Source organism: Homo sapiens, chromosome 16 (genome assembly GCF_000001405.40).
Source record: "Homo sapiens chromosome 16, GRCh38.p14 Primary Assembly".
Lineage (NCBI taxonomy): Eukaryota > Metazoa > Chordata > Mammalia > Primates > Hominidae > Homo > Homo sapiens.
Genome location: NC_000016.10, coordinates 71066746 through 71086641, shown reverse-complemented (window position 1 = coordinate 71086641; position 19896 = coordinate 71066746). Strand labels below are relative to the sequence as shown.

Genomic DNA, 19896 nt, shown 5'->3' with positions numbered 1-19896 from the left:
AGCAGCAAAGATAAAACCTTTAAGCTCTGCTCTAAAAACATTTAAGATAGAAGGAATAATGGCCCTATCTGTAGGAAGGAAAGTATAGGATATTAAAGGAGCAGTTTTACTTTTCAGGTAGATGAAAGAAAGGGAAAGTGCTAGCCAAGGAAGGCTAACTGCCCCTCAAGTTTAATAAGAAAGCCCATCCCAATTTCACCTGGCCATTCCCCATTTTAAGTTCAGGCCTAATAATACTGTGTCTTACCATCAACATACATAGCTACCCCTTTTAGGAATAAATATGTATTTTGGATATTTGTTAAATAAACTCTTATTGAGTACCTCCTTCAAGCAAGGTTGTATATTAGGTGCAAGAACTCATGTATTTGGGTTTCTTAGACATTCCTGATGCATGAATACTACTGCCCTCACTTTTGACTCTGAATTATTTACCCAAATTCAGGATTGCCCATTCTTTAAACTATTCCCTAAAGAAACTTAAAAATACAGTAAAAGAAATAACAAAGGAATTCAAAAGGGTAGAAAATATCCATTTAACACAAAGAAAGGCAGTAATGGAGGAATAGAGGAACAGAAAAGACATGAGACATATAGAAAATAAGTAGCATGAGTCCTGCCCTATCAACAATTACATTAAATGTCAATGTATTAAATACTTCAATTAAAAGTTAGAGAATGGCAGAATGGATTAGAACAAAACAAACAACCCCGCCAAAAATCTATATCTTTTTGCTTTTTACAAGATATCTATCTTGTATCTATATGCTTTTTACAAGATACCACACTTTAGATTTAAAGATATGAATAGGTTGAAACCAAAAGGATGGAAATATATACACCATGCAAACAGTACCAAAAGAAAGCTGGAGAGTCTATGTTATATCAGACAAAATAGACTTTAAAATAAAAATTGTTATTCAAGACAAAGAAGGGCATTTTACAATGATAAGATAGTGAGTTCATCAAAAAGATATGGCAATTATAAACACACATCTGATAACAGAGCACCAAAATATGTGAAGTGCAGACAGATAGAATTGAAGGGAGAAATACACAATTCAGCAAAATAGTAGGGGATGTCAATACCCCACTTTCAATAATAAAAAACTAAGCAGAAGATCACAAAGGAAATAGAAGAGTTGAACACTATAAACCACCTAGACCTAACAGACATCTACAGCACACTCTACCCAACAGGAATAAAAGAAAGGACATTACTACCAACCTTACAGAAATTAAAAGGATTAGTGGATAATGCTATGAACAATTGTATGCCAAAAATTAGATAATGTAGATGATATGAACAAATTCCTAGAAAGACACGAACTACCAAAACTGACTCAAGAAGAAATAGAAAATCTGAATAGACCTGTAATATATTCCAACCAAAAAACAAACAAACAAAAAACAAGATCAAGTGGCTTCACTGGTAAATTCTACTGAATGTTTAATGAAGAATTGTCATAAATCTTTCACAAACTCTTCCAAAAAATAAGAAGGTGGGAACACTTTTCAACTCATTTTATGAGGCCAGTATTACCCTGATACCAAAACCAAATGAAAACATTACAAGAAAAGAAAGCTAAAAACCCATAACCTTTATGGATTTAGACCCAAAAATCTTTGACAAAATACTAGCAAACCAAATCCAGCAACATGTGGAAAGGATTATACCCCATGACGAAGTGGGATTTATCCTGAATGATGAAAGGTTGGCTTAACATAAGAAAATCAATCAATGTAATAGAACATATTAATAAGAATAAAGGACAAAAACCACATGATTATTTCAGTAAACACAGAAAAAGCATTTACCAAAATTTAGCACCCTTTTATGATTAAAAAAAAAAAGTAACAAACTAGGAGTAGAAGGGAACTGCCTCTACATGGATCAAAGACTGAAATGTAAGGGCTGAAACTATAAAACTGTTAGAAGACAACATATGGATAGGCCCGGTGTGGTGGCTCATGCCTGTAATCTCAGCACTTTGGGAGGCTGAGGCAGGCAGATTACCTGAGGCCAGGAGTTCGAGACCAGCCTGGCCAACATGGTGAAACCCTGTCTCTACTAAAAATACAAAAAAATTAACTGGGCATGGTGATGCATGCCTGTAATTCCAGCTACTTGAGAGGCTGAGGCAGGAGAATCACTTGAACCCAGGAGGCGGAGATTGCAGTGAGCGGAGATTGTGCCACTGCACTGCAGCCTGGGTGACAGAGTGAGACTCTGTCTCAAAAACAAACAAACAAAAAGATAGGGTTAAATATCCATATCCAAAAACCAAATAAGCAATAGTTTTCAGATAATCAGCATCTAAGCACAAGCAACCAAAGAAAAAATAAATAAATTAGACTTCATCAGAATGTAAAAAAGTTTGTGCTTCAAAGGGGATACTGTCAAGAAAGTGAAAAGACAACCTTCACAATGGGAGAAAGTATGTGCAACTCATATATCTGATAAGGGACAATAAATTATTGGACAATTATAACTCAATAAATAATTCAATTTAAAAATGGACAAAGCGTTTAAGCAGACATTTCTCAAAGAAGATATACAAGAGGCCAATAACACATGAAAAGACTGTCAATATCATTAATCCTCAGGGAGATGTAAATCAAAACCCCACAATGAGATACTACTTCACACTCACTTGGATGGCTATAATCTTAAAATGGAAAATACAGTAGTTTCCCTTTATCTGCATTTTTAGGCCCCAAAGCGCAAAAGTAAAATTAGGGTTACTCAGACACAAGCACTGCAATACTGTGGCAGTTGATCTGATAACCAAGACAGCTACTAAGTGACTAAAGAGCGGGTAGCATATGCAGCATCGATACACTGGACAAAAGGGTGACTCATGACCTCGGCTGGACAGAGAGTGGATGACACAAGACTTCATCACACTACGCAAAGTGGCAGGCACTTAACAATGTATGACTGATTTGTTTCTGGAAATTTTTTATTTAATATTTTTGGACCGTGTTGACCATAAGTAACTGAAACAACAGAAAATCAAAACTACAGATAAGGAACTACTGTAAGTATTGGTGAAAAGGTGGAGGAATGAGAACTCCCATACACTGGTAATTAGGAATGTAAGACATGGCAGCCACTTTAGAAAATGATTTATCAGCACCTCAAACATGTAAACACTGAGTTACCATATGACCAGCAATTCCACTCCTAGGTATATACCCAAGAGGAATGAAAGCATATATCCACACAAAAACTTGTACATGAATGTTTATAACAGTATCATTCATAGTAGCCAAAGATAAATGAAATGTGTTATATCTATACAATGGAATACTATTTGACCATAAAAAGGAATGAAAAAAAATGGAGCACTGATAGATGCTACAACATGGTAGCATGAATGAACCTTGCTACCACGGTCTTTTGTGACTAGCTTCTTTCACTTGTCATAATGATTTCAAGGTTCAGCCATAATGACACCATTATAAACCTTGAAAATAAGGTTCATCCATTATGAACCTTGAAAACATTATGAAAGAACCCGGTCACGAAAGACCACATTACATGATTCCATTTATATGAAATGGTTAAAGTAGGCAAATCTATATAGATCTGAGGTAGATTAGTGGTTGCTTAGGGCTGGAGGGTGCAGGATAGTGGGTGACAGCTAAAGGGCATGAGGTTTCTTTTTGAGGTGATAAAAACGTTTTCAAATTGACTGTAGTGATGGTTGCATATATTTGTGAATATACAAAAAACATTGATTTGTACACTTTAAATGTGTGAATTGTATGATGTGTGAATTATATCTCAATGAAGCTGTCATTTAAAAAAAAATTCCAGGAGGCTGTAATAGTGAATAATACTTCTGTAATTTCCTGGGTGAATTTTTTAAATCTCTGATCTGTTCTCCTAAAGATCCCAGAGTAGTCGTGCATGTCACTTGCAATGTCTAAATAGGTTAAGGTGTACTTGGGTTTTCCATTGGGAATAATAGGATTTAGGGATCTCCCAGGAATCTGCTCACAAGTGAACTTCGACTAGTTAGTACTCCACCTGCTCTGTGCAGGGTAAGCCTCTTGTTCTATCTTCTGGACATTTCCATTTACCAAAATTCACATGCCACTTCTTGATTTTGGATGTTCATTTCTAGTTTCCTTCAACAAACCTGACTATGGAAAGAATCTTTATGGGGATTTATCACCAAACTCATGATCAATTGCTAAGAGAAATAGACTTACATAAATTTCCTCCTCAGTTCACTTCCTTTAAAGCTCAGTGTTTCATTTGTCCAATAGTGTTGCATTGTTAGTGGTTTGTAGCATTTCAAACCACTAACAATAATTTTGAAAACCTGTTAAAAATCTAGTGTCATGAATAAATGTCTATTCATAAAGGGTAAAAATGCATGTATAATACATCATCTGTTCTCAGCTCCACACATTAACACTGACTTGACTTGTTATTTTACTTTGTCAGAAATACTTTCTTGGGCCTCGTAGCCCAGGAAATGTCTATAAAGTTAATATCGTAGGTTCTGGAATTTTGTTTCTTACTTTTTTATTGCCAGGTACTCATTTCTCAGTACTGCATAAGCTAGTATTTTAGCTAATGTGCCTTGAAAGATCATAACAAATATTATACTTTCACTCTTTCTGTTTACTCTTCCAGTTATATAACACAATATTTTCAGTGGTTGGATAAACAACACTAAAATTAGTGTGATTTTTTTAAATTACCCACAAGCAATTTTCTTCCCTCCTATTTTTATGTATGTGATTTTATAAAGTTTGAACCATAGCACAGATACATTTTGTATTCAACTTGTCTCACTTACATATTGTAATAATTGAATCATTCTCTCTCTTGTCTTTCAAATTATAGTTTTAACAGACCCCTGCACTGATTTATGACACAGCCTTGGCATAGATTGTCCTAACATTCTGAATCCCTGTGAGAATTAATGTGACCATATCTAAGTCCAGATGGGATGGTTCAGCCACAATTCCCTCAGTTACATGTGCCTTTGAACAAGTGTCATGTATCTCTGGTTGTTTAAACTTCTGCATTGATTAAATGTCTGCTTTGTGTAAATTTTTTAAACTTCTTTCCTACTTTCTTTAGCATCTTGCGCATGTCGGACACTTTTGATCTATTTGTTACTTTGGTCCCTAAAAGCTTTTTTTCAAGTGAAGCATATAGCCTGTCGGCCTGTTTGTTGACGTCGTTCTCAACTGGATCCCAATTCCTGGCTGAGTCCCAACCACTCCCTTTAAAATCACTTCAGATCGTTAGCATGAGATATAATAAATGCTCATGAGAAAGTTAGACCTGAAACTTGTTGCAGTGAGTCTTTGCTGTGGCCATTCCTCCCAGGCTTACAACAACCTCTCATCACATTATAGTCAGAGCTGAAGCAACCGGAAGTATCACTAAGGCACCAATCCATGTCTTTACATGGATCATGGAGAAAAATATTATTGCTCTGAAGGTAAACAAGATAACTGAATAGTTTTCTTTTGCTGTTGTAACAAATTATCACAAATTTAGTAGCTTCAAACAACACATACTTAATATTTTACAGTTTTATAGACTTAATGCAGGTCTAGCTAGGCTAAAATCAGTGTTGGCAGGGCTGTGTTTCCTTCTGAAGGCTCTAGAGGGGAACCCATTTCCTAACCTTTTTTGGCTTTCTGAGGCGGCTCACATTCCTGGATTCCTTCTTCTTTGTTCAAAGTTTCCTTCTTCTGTGTTCAAAGCCAGGTTGAGTTCTCAGATTGCAGCACTCTGACCTCCTCTTCTGTCTCTTTCCTCTATTTTTAAAATCACCCTTGTGATTACAGTGGGCCTACTAGGATAAGACAGGATAATCTCCTCATCTTAAATTCAGTTAATTAGCAACCCTAATTCCATCTGCTACCTTAATTCCTCTTTGCCATGTAACCTAATATATTCATAGGTTCTGGGAATTAGGACATAGATATCTCTGGGAGCCATTATTCTACCTACATTACCTTCTAAGCTAGAAGTCATAGAATCTCTCTATTATTTATTTTAAGCTACAGCATCTCTCCAAGATCATAAAGCCTTACACTGAGAGAGAAATAGACCAACATTTAGAGTAAAGAGTCATTCAGTGTCACCTAGTCCAGTCCTCTCTTTTATACACGAGGAAGAGAAACAGAAGCTGATAGAGATAAAGTGGCTGGCCAACATCACAGTGAGTGAATGTCATAGTGGTAGGAATGTCACAGTGGTAAGAGTGGAATTGGAACAGTTTATATGAAAGCATGGACAGGGATTACTAGTATCAATGATAGTCTTTGATGTGTATTACATGATTAGACCTATAATTTTTATTTCTTGACACATTAATAACTTTACATGATATGTGTCTCATTCAAAATAACAACATTTTGTGCCCTTGTTTGGTGATCCATCTGCTCTGCCTCTCACCTATTCATTGGTAGAAATAAGATAATAAGTTAACCACAGCATTGTTTGTCAAAACCCATGGTTTGAATCATGAAAAAGAATTTTAAGAACCACTGTGATAGACCATCATGTCATCATTTCTCTAAATCCTGGATACTATAATTGACATAAAGTCAAGGTATGGTTTTTGTACTTATCCTTGCCCTACTTCCTGATTGTGACTCTGATTCACTGGATTCTCTCCCTCTCCCCCACCTTGTATTCCTCCTTCCAGAGGCTGTGTCATTGGACCTACCTTCCATTTTAATGTTCCAGCTCTGCACTTTGGTGATGTTTCCTTTGGTGAGTAGTTTTCCATTTTAAATTAGAAATTGAATAGGATTCCTTTTCTCTACGTGGAAGGAGGAAGGTTTACAAAGAACCCCCGTTCCACAGCACTGGAATAGGAAGTCCAGCACAAGGACATTCAGAACATGTGCCCTATATCTGATTGCCCTGCATAAGAAAACAGAGTCCACATAACCATCCCAAGTCAGTTACTGCCAAGAAATCTTATACTGATTCATTGTTTGGAATCTACTCTATAGTTCAGCTCTGAAATGTTAATGTAAATGCTATATACCAGTGGTAAGCCCATTATTGAGCTCCAAGAATATCTAAAACTCTTTCATCTAGAAGTCTTCTCCACTTGAGCACCCCAAACACTGACAGTCAGGCATAAAACTTATATATTGACAAGTAACTAATGTTGAGAAATTCATCCAGAATGTAGCACTGAAAGCAAAAGAGTTAGACTACATGAAAGCGAAATAAAGGGACATGGAAAGTAAGATTTAAAAGTTCTAACTAACTAACTAACTTGTATCTAATAGATACAAGTTCTAAGTTTAAAGGTTTAAAAGTTCTAACTTGTATCTAACAGAAATGCTAGATGGAGAAAGAATGAAAATGGCCAAAGAGCAATATTTGAAGAGATGGCGGCTGAGAATTTCTAAACTGAAGAAAAACATCTGTCCTTATAGTGTGCAACTGGATGCTCTTTCAATTCTGTAACTCCATCATAGGTAGCATGTAGCTTCTATGTCTTGGTCAAGTTTTCTGCCCTAACCTTAGCCGTCATACTCACATTCCAGCCAGCAGAAAGGAGGAAGAGACAGGAAAAGAGTACACCCCTTCCTTTTAAGGACACTTCCTAGAAGTTGTACACGCCACATATGGTTATATCCCATTGGTGAGTACTTAGTGGTGTGGCCACAACCAAGCTGCACATAAGGCTAGGAAATACAGCCTCATTCTTGTTGGCCACATTCACAACCAAAACTTAGGGATTTCGTTACTTCCTGAAGAAGGAAAAGGATAGTGGGAGATAACCAGCAATTTTGCCGTAACTTAGCAAATCTGGGCAACATCAATTAAGAATCAGCCAGGCATAGTGGCTCACATCTATAATCCCGCCACTTTGGGAGGGCGAGGCGGGAGGATTGCTTGAGCCCAGGAGTTCAAGACCAGCCCAGGCAACATAGCAAGACCCCATCTCTACAAAAAACTAAAACAATCAGCTGAGTGTAGTGGTACGTACCTGTCGCCCCAGCTACCTAAGAGGCTGAAGCAGGAGGATCTCTTGAGCCCAGGAGTTGGAGGCTGCAGTGAGCTGTGATTGCACCACTGCAATCTAGCCTAGGCAAAAGAGCAAGACCCTGTCTCTAAAAAACAAATAAACAACAAAAAAACCCTCATAACTCTTATTAGGAACCAGGAAAGAAATACAATTGCAGATATTTAAGGCAGTAAAAACAGATAAGAGAATGCTATATACAACTTCTTTAAAAAATAGGAGAAATGGATGAGTTGGGGGAAAACATACGTTATTAAAATTACCGCAAGGAGTAGAAAACCTGAATAGAAAAATAATCATAGAATATACTGAAAAAGAAGTCAAATATCTACCCCTGAAGAAAAGACACTAGGTCAAACAGCTTTACAAGTGAGTTCTACCAAATGGTGAAGAAATGGATGTATCTCACATCACAGAAAAATGTAGAAAGCTATTAACTCGTTTTAGGAGACAAATATATTCACAGTAAAACAACACAAGAAAAGAAAAATATAGACCCATCTCTCTTATGAACATTGATTTTAAAGCATTAGCAAATCACATGCATAGAGATGCATTTTTAAAATTACATCATGACCAAGTAGAATTTATCCCAGAAATCCAAAAATGGTTTAGTAACAGGAAATCCATTCATGTAATTTACCACAATTTATATCATCTCAGTTCATGCTGAGAAAAATATTCCACAGAATCCAACACTCATTCATAATGAGAAATAAAAATTCTTAGAAAACTAGGAGTAGGAGGGAAATTCCTTAATATGATGAATGAAAAATAGAAAAAACCTACAGTAGGAAAATGTATTTAATGGGGACCTTTATTCATTTAGTAATGTATATTTAGTAATATTAGTTTAGCTATGTTCTAGACACTATTCTGGGGACTGGGATATTACAATTTAATGTTGAAAGCATTCTGATTCATTTTCAGAGACAAAAAAAACAAAAAACAAAAAACTATTCTCAAGCTATCATATAACATTGTCCTGGAGGTCCAAGCCATTGTGATAAGAAAATAAAAGGAAATAAAAGATAAGTAGTTGAAAAGAAAAAAACAAAACTATCATGGTTTATAGAATGTATTATTCTCTACCTAGAAAAACTGTGGTAATTAACTGACAAGGCATTAGAACTAATAAGAGTTTAGCAAGATATTCAAGCAAAATATTATTAAAAAGTAGATTTTTAAATATATCAGCAATGATTAACTAGAAAATATAATTGAAAAATATCATTTAAGAATATAAAACTATAAAATAACCTAACAATAAATGTGCAGACACTACAGGAAGAAGATAATTGGTTAATTCCCTGGGGAAAAATTCACAGAAAGAGCCAATAAATTTTTGAAACAAAGACCAGTGACTGTGGACTTTATCAGATATTATAATGTACTTTAAAGCATAGGCAAATAGACTAATAGAAACAAAGCCATGACTACAGGGGAATTTACACATGCTCAATGTGAAATTTCAGATCAGTGGAGGCATGGGCTGCTTCATAAAAGGCAAAGAAACAATTTGTTATCCATTGGAAATAATAGAAAAGTTAGACTTTTACCTCACATCTTTCACAGAAAAAAATCTCAGATCTATTAAACAGCTAACAATGAAAAACAAACTTTTTAAAATATCAGGAGAAAATATAGGTGGTTATGTTTATATGCTAGCAAGTGTGAAGGTCTTAAACAAGATGCCCAATGCAAAAGCCATAAAGAAAAAGGTTAGTAAGTGTGGCTCCCTAACATTAAGCAAATTTCCAAACAAAAAGATTTCATGAACACAGTAAAAAGACAATGCTTGCAACATAAATAATAGGCAAAGTATTAAAATCAGAATACATGAACCTTCAGAATACATGAAACTAACTCCTGCTAATTCATGAGGAAAAGTGAAATTATCCAATAGAAAAATTGGCAAATAGATGAATAGACATGTATGAATTGGTAAGTGTTTAAACAGAATAGAAGGTCTATGAAAGACATATTAAAAGATGCTTAATCTCAATCATCTTAGATATTTTTTGTGAAGAAAATTTAAGTATTTTTTTATAACCCAACTAGTATTTCTCATGTGTTCCCACACTACCAAGCAAGCATGGCAGGAGTTGGGGGGCACTGAGGCACTGGCCTGGGGGTGCCTCATCTAGCTATCCACTTACCTGTGGCGCCCATTTCCACTGAGGTATTGTGGGAACACTGATGGCTTGTCCTTTCAGCTCCAGCAGAGCCAACACTGACTTGGCTTCCACTGACTCCATTCTCCCTAGAGCTAGACCTGTGCTTCCCCCATGAAGCTACTGAGCACACTGAGATGTGCTGTAAGTGTAAAATACTATTGATTACATGTTGAAATAATATTTCTGACATGTTGGGTTAAATGCACTATGTTGTTAAAATTAATGTCACCTATTTGTGTTTTGCATTGTATTTCCGTTGGACAGTGTGAAGTTAATCTCTCTTCTCCCTTCATAGCCATTGAGGTATGGTTGCCTGGCCTTTTGCTATGGCAGCCCTGTTGCAGACCCATGGCAAGTTCACTGTTCTCAACCCAACTACCTTCCAGAACCATGAGTGGGAGGAAGGGTGCCATGTATCCATGTGTAATGCCTGGGTCCTTCTCCAGCCACACAGGAACTGAGAGATCCTCAAGTACTGATTCCCTTTCAGCGTAAGCATACCATTTTTATCCTGAGTTAGCTGCCCCAGGCAGGTATGAGAATATTCTGTGAAGTGGTCTGCTCTGAGACTCCCAACAAGAAAGCCAGGCAGAAGTCCCTTTGCTTCCAACATCCCCTCAACCTATTTAGCCACCCTATCCCTGAGATTCTGGCCTGTAAGGCAGATGCCATGATGTACACATGTGGCCACTCTGTTATTCTTCCCCTTCCCATACTCAACTGAGACAAAAGGAGTAGCCTTTCCACTTCCTCTTCCTGTTTGCCAGAACTCTCATATCATCGCCTCCTTTTCCTATATGCTGTATGCCAAATAAGAAAATAACCTGTGTGTCCATTTAAAGAATAACCTGTGTGTCAATTTAAAGGCTCTTATTCATCCTCAAAACAATGACATTGATAACATTATTCTCCATCAGATCTAGAATGGGATTTTTGATGTTAGGGAGCTCTGGCTCACACGAAACCAGGTACGCATGCTCCAAGGTTAGATAGGTTTTTCCCTTAACCATCTTCCATTTGGGCCTCCTTTATTAGGACGCAGGAAAGATTATCATTGGGTAATTTATCCATAGTTTCCTTGAGCTATAGAAATAAAAATCAACAGCTGTTCCTCATAGTTGGTTCAGCTGAAAGTTTTGGTAATTAGCTTAGCTGAAAATTAGAAACAATTTACTTTTCTTTTGTTTTGTAATATCTTATTGAACCATTTGATGATATAGCAGCTATGCAAGAGGCCAGAAGACACTGCAGAACCATGACCCCCAAGATTTCCCAAACCTGAGACATGGAAACTTATCTCAAAAACCAACTTAATCCACCTTCAAAACCCAAGTTATCTTTTCTTTTAGTTTAGCTATGAATGCTATAAATTCTTTAATCTTCTCTGTATTGTGGCAGGAAATGTCAGCAATAACATCCCTTTTGGGCTTGCCAACAGGAAATCTAAGGCGATCTGGTTTTCAAAACCACATGGGTCAGTGGGTTTAGGCTACTTTGCTTTGCTTCTGGAGTCTGTACTGCATCAGCCAAAGCGAGGGGCAATTTTGTGTTAATTTCCAATTATATGACCCCCACAATTTAAGCCTCATGACTCCAACAAAGTACCATTATTTCCCCAGGTGGATTGGTCTCTCATCAAATAGACTTTTCACAAAGAAGCATGGTGGCACTGGAGGATGTGGAGAGGCATTTGAAACTTTCTTTTCTTTTTTTTTTTTTTTTTTTTTGGTGTTTTTTGTTTTGTTTTGTTTTGTTTTGAGACAGAGTCTCTGTTGCCCAGGCTGGAGTGCAGTGGCACCATGTTGGCTCACTGCAATCTCCGCCTCCGGAGCAAGCAATTCTCCTGCCTCAGCCTCCCGAGTAGCTGGGATTACAGGTGCATACCACCACACCTGGCTAATTTTTTAATATTCTTTGTAGAGACGGGGTTTCACCATGTTGGCCAGGCTGGTCTGGAACTCCTGACCTCAGGTGATCCACCTGCCTCTGCCTCCCATGTGCTGGGATTACAGGTGTGAGCCACCGTGCCTGGCCACATTTGAAACTTTCTAATTATTACCCCACATATGCAAGTAGGGAGGCGTTAATGAGACAGATGAGCATAAGCTTGTTATTAGCTCAGGAATGAAAGACTAATAGGGATGCGTATAGTTCCTGATGCAAAAGTGAAACTGATCATTCCAGGAATAAGCCAAGAATTGGAGGAATATTTTAGTTATTTCAGAATGATGGACATATTATGTGGGGTTTAAAAAGGTTTGCAGAGGCTAATATAGTGGGGAATACATTAAGCTAACTAAAGTTGACAGTATTATCCCTGTATTGACACTAAGTTCCATTCCTAAAAAGGAGTCTGTTATAGATTAGTGTTGGAGATGTGGCATTTATTTGCTTGGTGGTGAAGATATGGATTTTGCATCAGGGACTGTTGGAATTGATGATGTTGAGATAGATGGGTGGTGGGTAATAGTACTATATGTTGGTTTCTAAAATTTCTATGGCTATAAAGATTTTTGATGGTAGGATTGGATGTTGGATGACCTACCCAGAAATAATTAGTTCTGTTGACTACAGCTGCAGTAGCATGAGAGAGTCAGATAATAGAATTGGGTGGTGATTGTCCTTGAAGGAACATTGAGGCATAGATGAATCCTTGGATGGGTTAAAGAATAAATGGACCAAGTAACAACTGGCATGCTAGCTGATACACTAAAGGCCCAGGTAAATATCTGCAAACCCACTATTTTTCAGGAGATACAAGGATGTGTTGAATGAGAATAAGGAGTTTGAAAACCTCCAAGCATTTATTGAACTCGGCCATTGAATAATGTGGACAGAGAAGTTATTGCAAAATATGATAACCTGTCTGGGATTTGGGGACAGAGTTGTTCAAATAAAGCATCAAAAGATGCATTACCGGTGTCTCTTCTATGGCACTGATATAAATTGGCAGTATGTAGCTGAAGGAGAAATATCTAAGTTGACCTTCGGAGGGTGTAAAGTAGGGAGTCGGGAGCAAAACCGGATTGTAATGATCACAGAATGATCTTAGAAGGGTTGGCAGAAGAGATCATAGTAGGTGTGAGCAAAGCATGCCCAAAACAACTTGTCAATAACAGTAAGGGAGACATCACAGGGTGTATCAAAATTGTATAACCTTAAGATAAGAAACAAGGAGTAATATGGCAAAATGATGAAAAACAAAAGTACGCAAGGGAGAGTGTGAGAATCAGTAACGTCAGGCATCTAACAAAATCTCATCCCATCAGTCTTGAGCAGAAGCTATCTACTGTGGGTAAAGTCTGCTTGTTCTGAGGGACTTGAAATAGCAGTCTATTTCTGAAGGTCATCTGCTTCTGAAGGTTTTTTCTGTTTTTTTAGAAAACCTCTACTTAAGATCCCCAGTGAGAGTATTTTTCAACACGTCTTCAGCCAATAATTTAGCTTCTATGGGCATCTTTTTCCTCAGAGGTCCACCTCATAATTTAACTGCAAGGTCAGTTGTTAGAAGGCTCTGAAGAAGACCTTCATTGGTGTATTTTTCAGGGTACTCATTCTTCAGTTAGAAAGAGGGGAGGGCTTCTGAGGGTGGTATTTTAGGGAAGACTTTTTAAACTTATAGATGAGCTGGTTCTCACAATATTTTGTTATGTCTGCATGAAGCAAGGTTGACCCAAATTGATGAAATACTTGTAATCACATGGATCTTCTAGTTATTATTTCATAAAGTGAATAGTCTATGAGTTACAGAGGGAGCTAATCATATCTGATGGCCATCAGAGCTAAAGGTAAAACTCTTCATCAAGGAACTCAGAACCTCGGAGAACTGGGCCAACTTAAGATCAGTAATACTATTTTTATGCTCTACATTTCCCAAAGATTGTGAAATTTTTTATCAAAGGGCTAACGCACTATAAAATTCTTTTTAACTCTTGTAGTGTAAGGTAACATTCCCCAGGTGGGAAACTTATAGTCTACAGTTTCTTAGTCACAGTCACAGCAGTGGTCTTTCTGTACAGAAGGGCTCAAACCCATCCAAAGAATTTACAGTTACAAGCACATATTCTGAACTTTGTGAGCTGGGCCTAATCCACATATATTCCAGAGACTCACATCCCACTTGTACAATGTTTCTGGATATGGTATCAGGATGGGAGGCAGGAGCCAGCCACATCCCCAGCTACAGAGGAGAGATTTTCCCATTGATTCTTATTCAGAGATTATTTCCTCTCTTCTATGGTGGTGATGTTTTACGTATGATAAAACATTTTTGTCAAAGACCACTTAGATTTGGGGGCATAGTTGGTATTCCAGAGACCATTGGAATGAACAGAGGTTCCCAATTTTAGGCAACGTTTGTTTTCTGAATCTGAGGCTAAATTTTCTATGTCCAAAATGAGTTGGATATATGTGCTTATTGATTCCCATATTCTGAATTATTTCTATGGACAATGACAAAAATGCCACCTGATTTGCATAATGATCTGCCAACACGGTTCCCTTTGCTTTGTGGAGATTTTTACTTTACTAGAAAAATAAAGAATCCATTGTCTAAAATATTCCATGAATCCCCCAGTCTCTCAATTATAATTTAGCATTTTGTCCTGCATGTTGATGAATCAATTTAATACTCTCATTAGATAGGGTCCTTTCTCTAGTAGAGACGTCATGTTCCAAATAATATACCATATTTTTAAAGAAATGTAATTTTTCCTTTACAGCCTTGTGATCTTCCGCTGCTAGTTTCTGCTAGTCTTCTTAGGAGCTTTTTAGGTCAGGTGAAAATAAGCATCTTGAAGGAGAATTGAATCTCTTGAGAATGTTGTGTTTTAAAACATTATACAAGTATTGGGAGAAAGATCAGGTGCCTCTGTGAATCCTTGAGACATTCTGTGCAATTATGTTGTTAATTATTTGAAGAGAAGGCAAATAAATATTGACTTTTTATCTACTAGACCCTATAAAAGGGAGCATAGAGGTCTACAACTGTAAAGTACTTGCATTCAGGTGGAACTGTAGATAGAATAGTATTAGGATTGGTTGCAACTAGAAACCTAGGAGTAACATTCTTATTAATGACCTTCAGTCTTTAACAAATCAGCATCCCCTTCCTTTAGGCTTCTTGACAAGCAATATGGGATATTACAGGTACTAGTACAAGAAATTGTTGTAACTAGGAGGTCATAATTGGCTTTATTCTGTGAAAAAGTTCTGGCTTTAAGGAAGCAGTCTGGGCAATGGTTTGGAAGACCACGTGACTCTTTATAATACCCACTTTCCATAATACGCTCCACATTCACAGATCGTCTAACTCATAAATGGTCAGATCAAATAAGGCTAAGCCATCTACAGTTTCCAGAGTCATTATTTGGTAAGTCCAGGAAAGTCACATGTAGCATGATTGTGAAGCTGCCTTCCAAGCAGTTCCTCTGGAATTTCCAAGAATAACCCTTCAAGTGCACTCAATCTCACAGTTCTTTTTCCATGAAAGATATCTTCCAAGTAGGTTGGCAGGTGTGTTATCACAAAGGATACATGAATGTGTTTCCTCCAATGGCCTAATGTGTAGACAAAAGCTGAGACATGAGGCAGAAGTAGATCAACTCAAAATAGCCCCGACAGCAACAGTCATTACTCCAAGAGACCAAGTACATTTTATTACAGCAGAGTTCAAGGTAGAAGAGTAGCATTTCCATCCAGTAGAAATATGCATTTTTGTTCTCCTGTGTCTATAGATTATTCTTCTTGTTCTGAAAGTGGTATCAGATACAATAGCTGCCTAGGGAATCGAAAATCAGAGTTTAGTGGCCGGGCACTGTTGCTCACGCCTGTAATCCCAGCACTTTGGGAGGCCAAGGCAGGTGGATCACCTGAGGTCAAGAGTTCAAGAGCAGCCTGGCCAACATGGTGAAACCCCATCTCTACTAAAAATACAAAAATTGGATGGGCGTGGTGGTGCATGGTGGCGCACACCTGTAATCCCAGCTACTCAGGAGGCTGAGGCAGGAGAATCACTTGAACCTGGGAGGTGGAGGTTGAGGTGAGTTAAGATTGTACCACTGCACTCCAGCCTGGGTTACAGAGCAAGACTCTGTCTCAAAAAAAAAAAAAAAGAAAGAAAGGAAGGAAGGAAGGAGGAAGGAAGGAAGGAAGGAAGGAAGGAGAGAGAAAGAAAGAAAGAAAGAAAGAAAAGAAAGAAAATCAGAGCTTAGTGTATTGCTTGCCAAGCAAGAAAGGTCCACATCTCTTAAGAGAGGAGTCTCACGGAACAAAGCTGGATACGATGACAAAGCAGCTTTGTCTAAGAGAGGTAAAAGCCAGGTGTTAGTCTCTGGCTGGCTCTAAAGCAGTTTGTAAAGTCTCTCTTGGGAAAGGCTATTTTTTGATACTGTGTCATCAGCCCTAAGAGCGTGATACCCAGACAGGTCTAGGACACACTCTATCATGTCTTGGCAAGCTCTGGGTCACCCAGGGGGCAAAACCATGCAGGCTTTTTCTTTCACACACTGGCAAATAAAAACAGCAAGCATGATTCAATGTAAAAATGTATATTTTTGTGTAAGAAATAAATGCAAAATATACTTCCGCAAGACTACTCAGCCAACTACTAACAGAGGCTGCCTCCCCGGAAGGGCCTGAGTGGCAATCAAGGGGCTTGTTTTATATGTGGTGTTTAATCTCCCACATAGTAAATGCATAGTAAATATTCATTGAGTGAATGCATAAATGAAAAAGTAGATACATTAATGAATGAAAATGTATTTATTGATGGAATGAAACAATAAAAATAATATTTAGGGCAAGTTGGAGTTAAGTAGTAATGAATAGCACAGACAGTTCATTCAAGAAGCTTAGCAGTTTCTAGGGGAGATTGAGGGTCAAGGGAGGTGTTGGGGGGGCTTTTATTTCTCACATCATATTTTGTTTTCCAGGGTTTCCTCATACCTTGATATGTTCCCTCAATAATACCTCTTTGATCCCCATGACTTACAAACTGCGTATCCCTGGGGATGGCCTTGGCCATAAAAGCATTTCATATTGTGAGCAGCATGTGGACTACAAAAGACCATCTTGGACCAAGGAAGAAATATCCTCAATGAAACCAAAAGAATTCACCATCTCTCCTGACTGTGGCACCATTCGCCCCCAGGGATTTGCTGCTATCAGGGTAAAGTGCATGGCCTTCCTGCACACACAGCTAAGCAGCTGAGCCTTCAAAATAGTCATGGGCCCTCATCTAGGGTTTGCTCTAGCATGTCCAGTGTCAGCAGGAGGGGGTGCCTGTCAATTTACAGGGAAACGTGGGCCTATAAGGAAATAAATCAGACACAAATACATTGGGCAAAGCAATGGGCACTGTGCCAGTGGCTTTACCTTAATCTAGATGCATTGCCTTCACCAGAAGAGTGGGTTCTAGGCATTTCTAGTGAAGCCACTGCTATCCAGACAGTACTCCCAGCGGTACTAATATAAACAGATTTCACAACTTATTGATACTTAGGTTTATCTTTCCTTCAGACTCAGATCCTTTAGATAGCAATAAATAGCCACACTTATGCCAAAGATGATATCTGGTTTATTCAGCTTTGTAATCCGAATCCAGGCTTCATTCATGGTGGATGTGGATGTGGTATCACTAACAGCGCCTTATCTTGAGTTCTGCAGGAAAAGCCATGAGAATTCAGCTTCCTCATCCTGAGGAATACTCATCCTTCCATGTTTTGTCTGCAATCAGGATAGTGCTTTGCCTTGGTTATCGCCTCACAGTGCCACCAGTGGAATTATTTCACCCTTAACTGTCTTCCCTCTTTTCTTTTGCTGTTGTTGTTTGTTGTTGTTGTTGCTTCCCAGATATCTCAGGAAGATTTTAAAAGACACAGCGTCTTGCTAGCAGCCTTCTGCCAAAACCACTTGTTCTTCCTTCTAGCCACAGCCCAGATACATAAACAAGGGGTTACAGTCACACTAGGATTCTCTGTTTCTTTCCAAATCAATGACTTCATCTTCACTTTATTTTTCCTTTATATTTAGAAAAGCTTTCTCCAAGCTCCAGTTTTCCCTCCTGATCTGCACTTCAGCCAGGTCTGTGTGGACTCAAATTTGCATCCAGTGATTCCCTCTGCAACTGAAAACATTTTAATTAGTACCAGATGCATAATTTATAGATAGAAAAGCCTTAACTCATGCCAGAAGCTGTTTTCTAGACTTGAAACTATCTCTTCCAGTACATACAATTTTGAAGCAATTAAAAATCATAACAAGTCTTCTGAAAGCCTAAATGTACAGCTTCACAGCAGGAAATAAAAACACAGGGTAAAATGTTCTGAGCCCCCCAAGAGCCTCCCTTGACCCTCAATCTCTCCTAGCAACTGCTAAACTTCTTAAATGAATTGTCTGTGCAATTCATTACTGCTTAACTCCAACTTGCTGGAATTGGAATCTAAGTACCAATGAGTTCTGAAATCTGTTTATGGTTTGACCATGTTCTATTATCCTCAAATAGACCTTTCTTTGGAACTTTCTATTTTCTGCTGTAATAAAGAATGTGGGATGGTGGGGGCAAGATTTTGGTAAAGCAGACTGATTTCTTACACCATTTTCTGGAACTGACATGGTTATTTCCATTTATTTTACTGTAAGAGAACTTGTGCTATAGTGTTTTACTAGTATATTACATTTTCATAATTCATATAGCCCAGAGGTAGGGAACAATTTAAATTGCAGTAATTAAAGTTGGTTCGATGTTGCTCATCGTTCATGCTCATTTTTCCCCTTATGCAGGTATGTGGCTTCTTTGACAAAACCTCCTCAGAAATGAGCAAAGCCATTGTACTAACAGCCATTTGGTTTCTACCCTGGCCTTTGAAAACACTCAGCATGCCCTGACCCCACAATGTAACTTGTCAACTAAAAATGTAAAATGCTATATATCCATAAAGCACTTAGAAACCACTCTGATCAGCGTAGTCCTCCGGAGGCTCCCCTCCCCCGTGTAGAGAGAACGTGCTTTTTCGAAGACCAACTTGTCACCTTTTTCTTTCCAGGTGACATTATGCTCCAACACTGTGCAGAAATACGAGCTGGCACTCGTGGTGGACGTGGAGGGCATCGGAGAAGAGGTGCTGGCGCTCTTAATTACAGCAAGGTATTGCTCCCCAGCTTGCTCTTCTCCTGAGTCGCCCCCGAGCCTCCAGTAATGGGCTGCCTCCCAGAAGGCAGCTGGCCTGCCAACCCAAGCACACTGAGTTTGTCCTGCCTTCCTGGGAAGGGAAGTTGAATCTGACATTCAAATGACAAAGCAGCAAATGTTTCTAAAGCACCTTTGGTGGAGATAAGAAGAAGTGTGTGTGTTTTGTAGAGTTTAGGCAGAGAATCCTAAGAATAGTGAAAAAACGGGTCAGACCCTCTCTAACGGGTTTGACTTTCAAAGTATGTAACCAGAAAGGTTTTAGCAGGAAGAGGTGAAGAGCTGCTCATTTTTATTTTCATCTTTCAACATAGTGCTCCAGAGTTATGCAATAGGAAGGTGATGCTGTCAGTCCTGCAGTGGAAGATCCATAGAGCCAAGAGGTCCCTGCCCCGGGACACTGTTGCTGTGACTTGAATTTCAGGCTAGGAGTGGGCCCCCAAGATGAGGCTCATCTTTAACAAGGTATACTCCTCAGAACCATCTCCAACTCCTCTCTCTT

The 19896-nt window shown here is 38.3% G+C and overlaps 1 protein-coding gene across 4 annotated transcripts in view, besides 1 other annotated feature; it reads left to right on the top strand.

The window, feature by feature from the left end:
- HYDIN (HYDIN axonemal central pair apparatus protein) overlaps window positions 1–19896 on the top strand; it is a 428639-nt gene that overhangs the window by 144081 nt on the left and 264662 nt on the right. For all 4 annotated transcript variants that reach the window (NM_001270974.2, NM_017558.5, NM_001198543.1 and 1 more), the window contains exons 13-15: window positions 6690–6757; window positions 17140–17375; window positions 19252–19352. In NM_001270974.2, coding sequence (NP_001257903.1) covers window positions 6690–6757; window positions 17140–17375; window positions 19252–19352 — 405 coding nt within the window. The remainder of the gene's footprint in view (window positions 1–6689; window positions 6758–17139; window positions 17376–19251; window positions 19353–19896) is intronic.
- Window positions 6167–7366: an enhancer, noted in NCBI's record as "BRD4-independent group 4 enhancer chr16:71113179-71114378 (GRCh37/hg19 assembly coordinates)". NCBI's record gives its function as "activates an origin of replication core promoter dependent on BRD2, P300/CBP, MED14 and CDK7 cofactors, and independent of BRD4, by STARR-seq in HCT116 cells {active_cell/tissue: HCT116}" and the evidence as "EXISTENCE:reporter gene assay evidence [ECO:0000049][PMID:35650434]".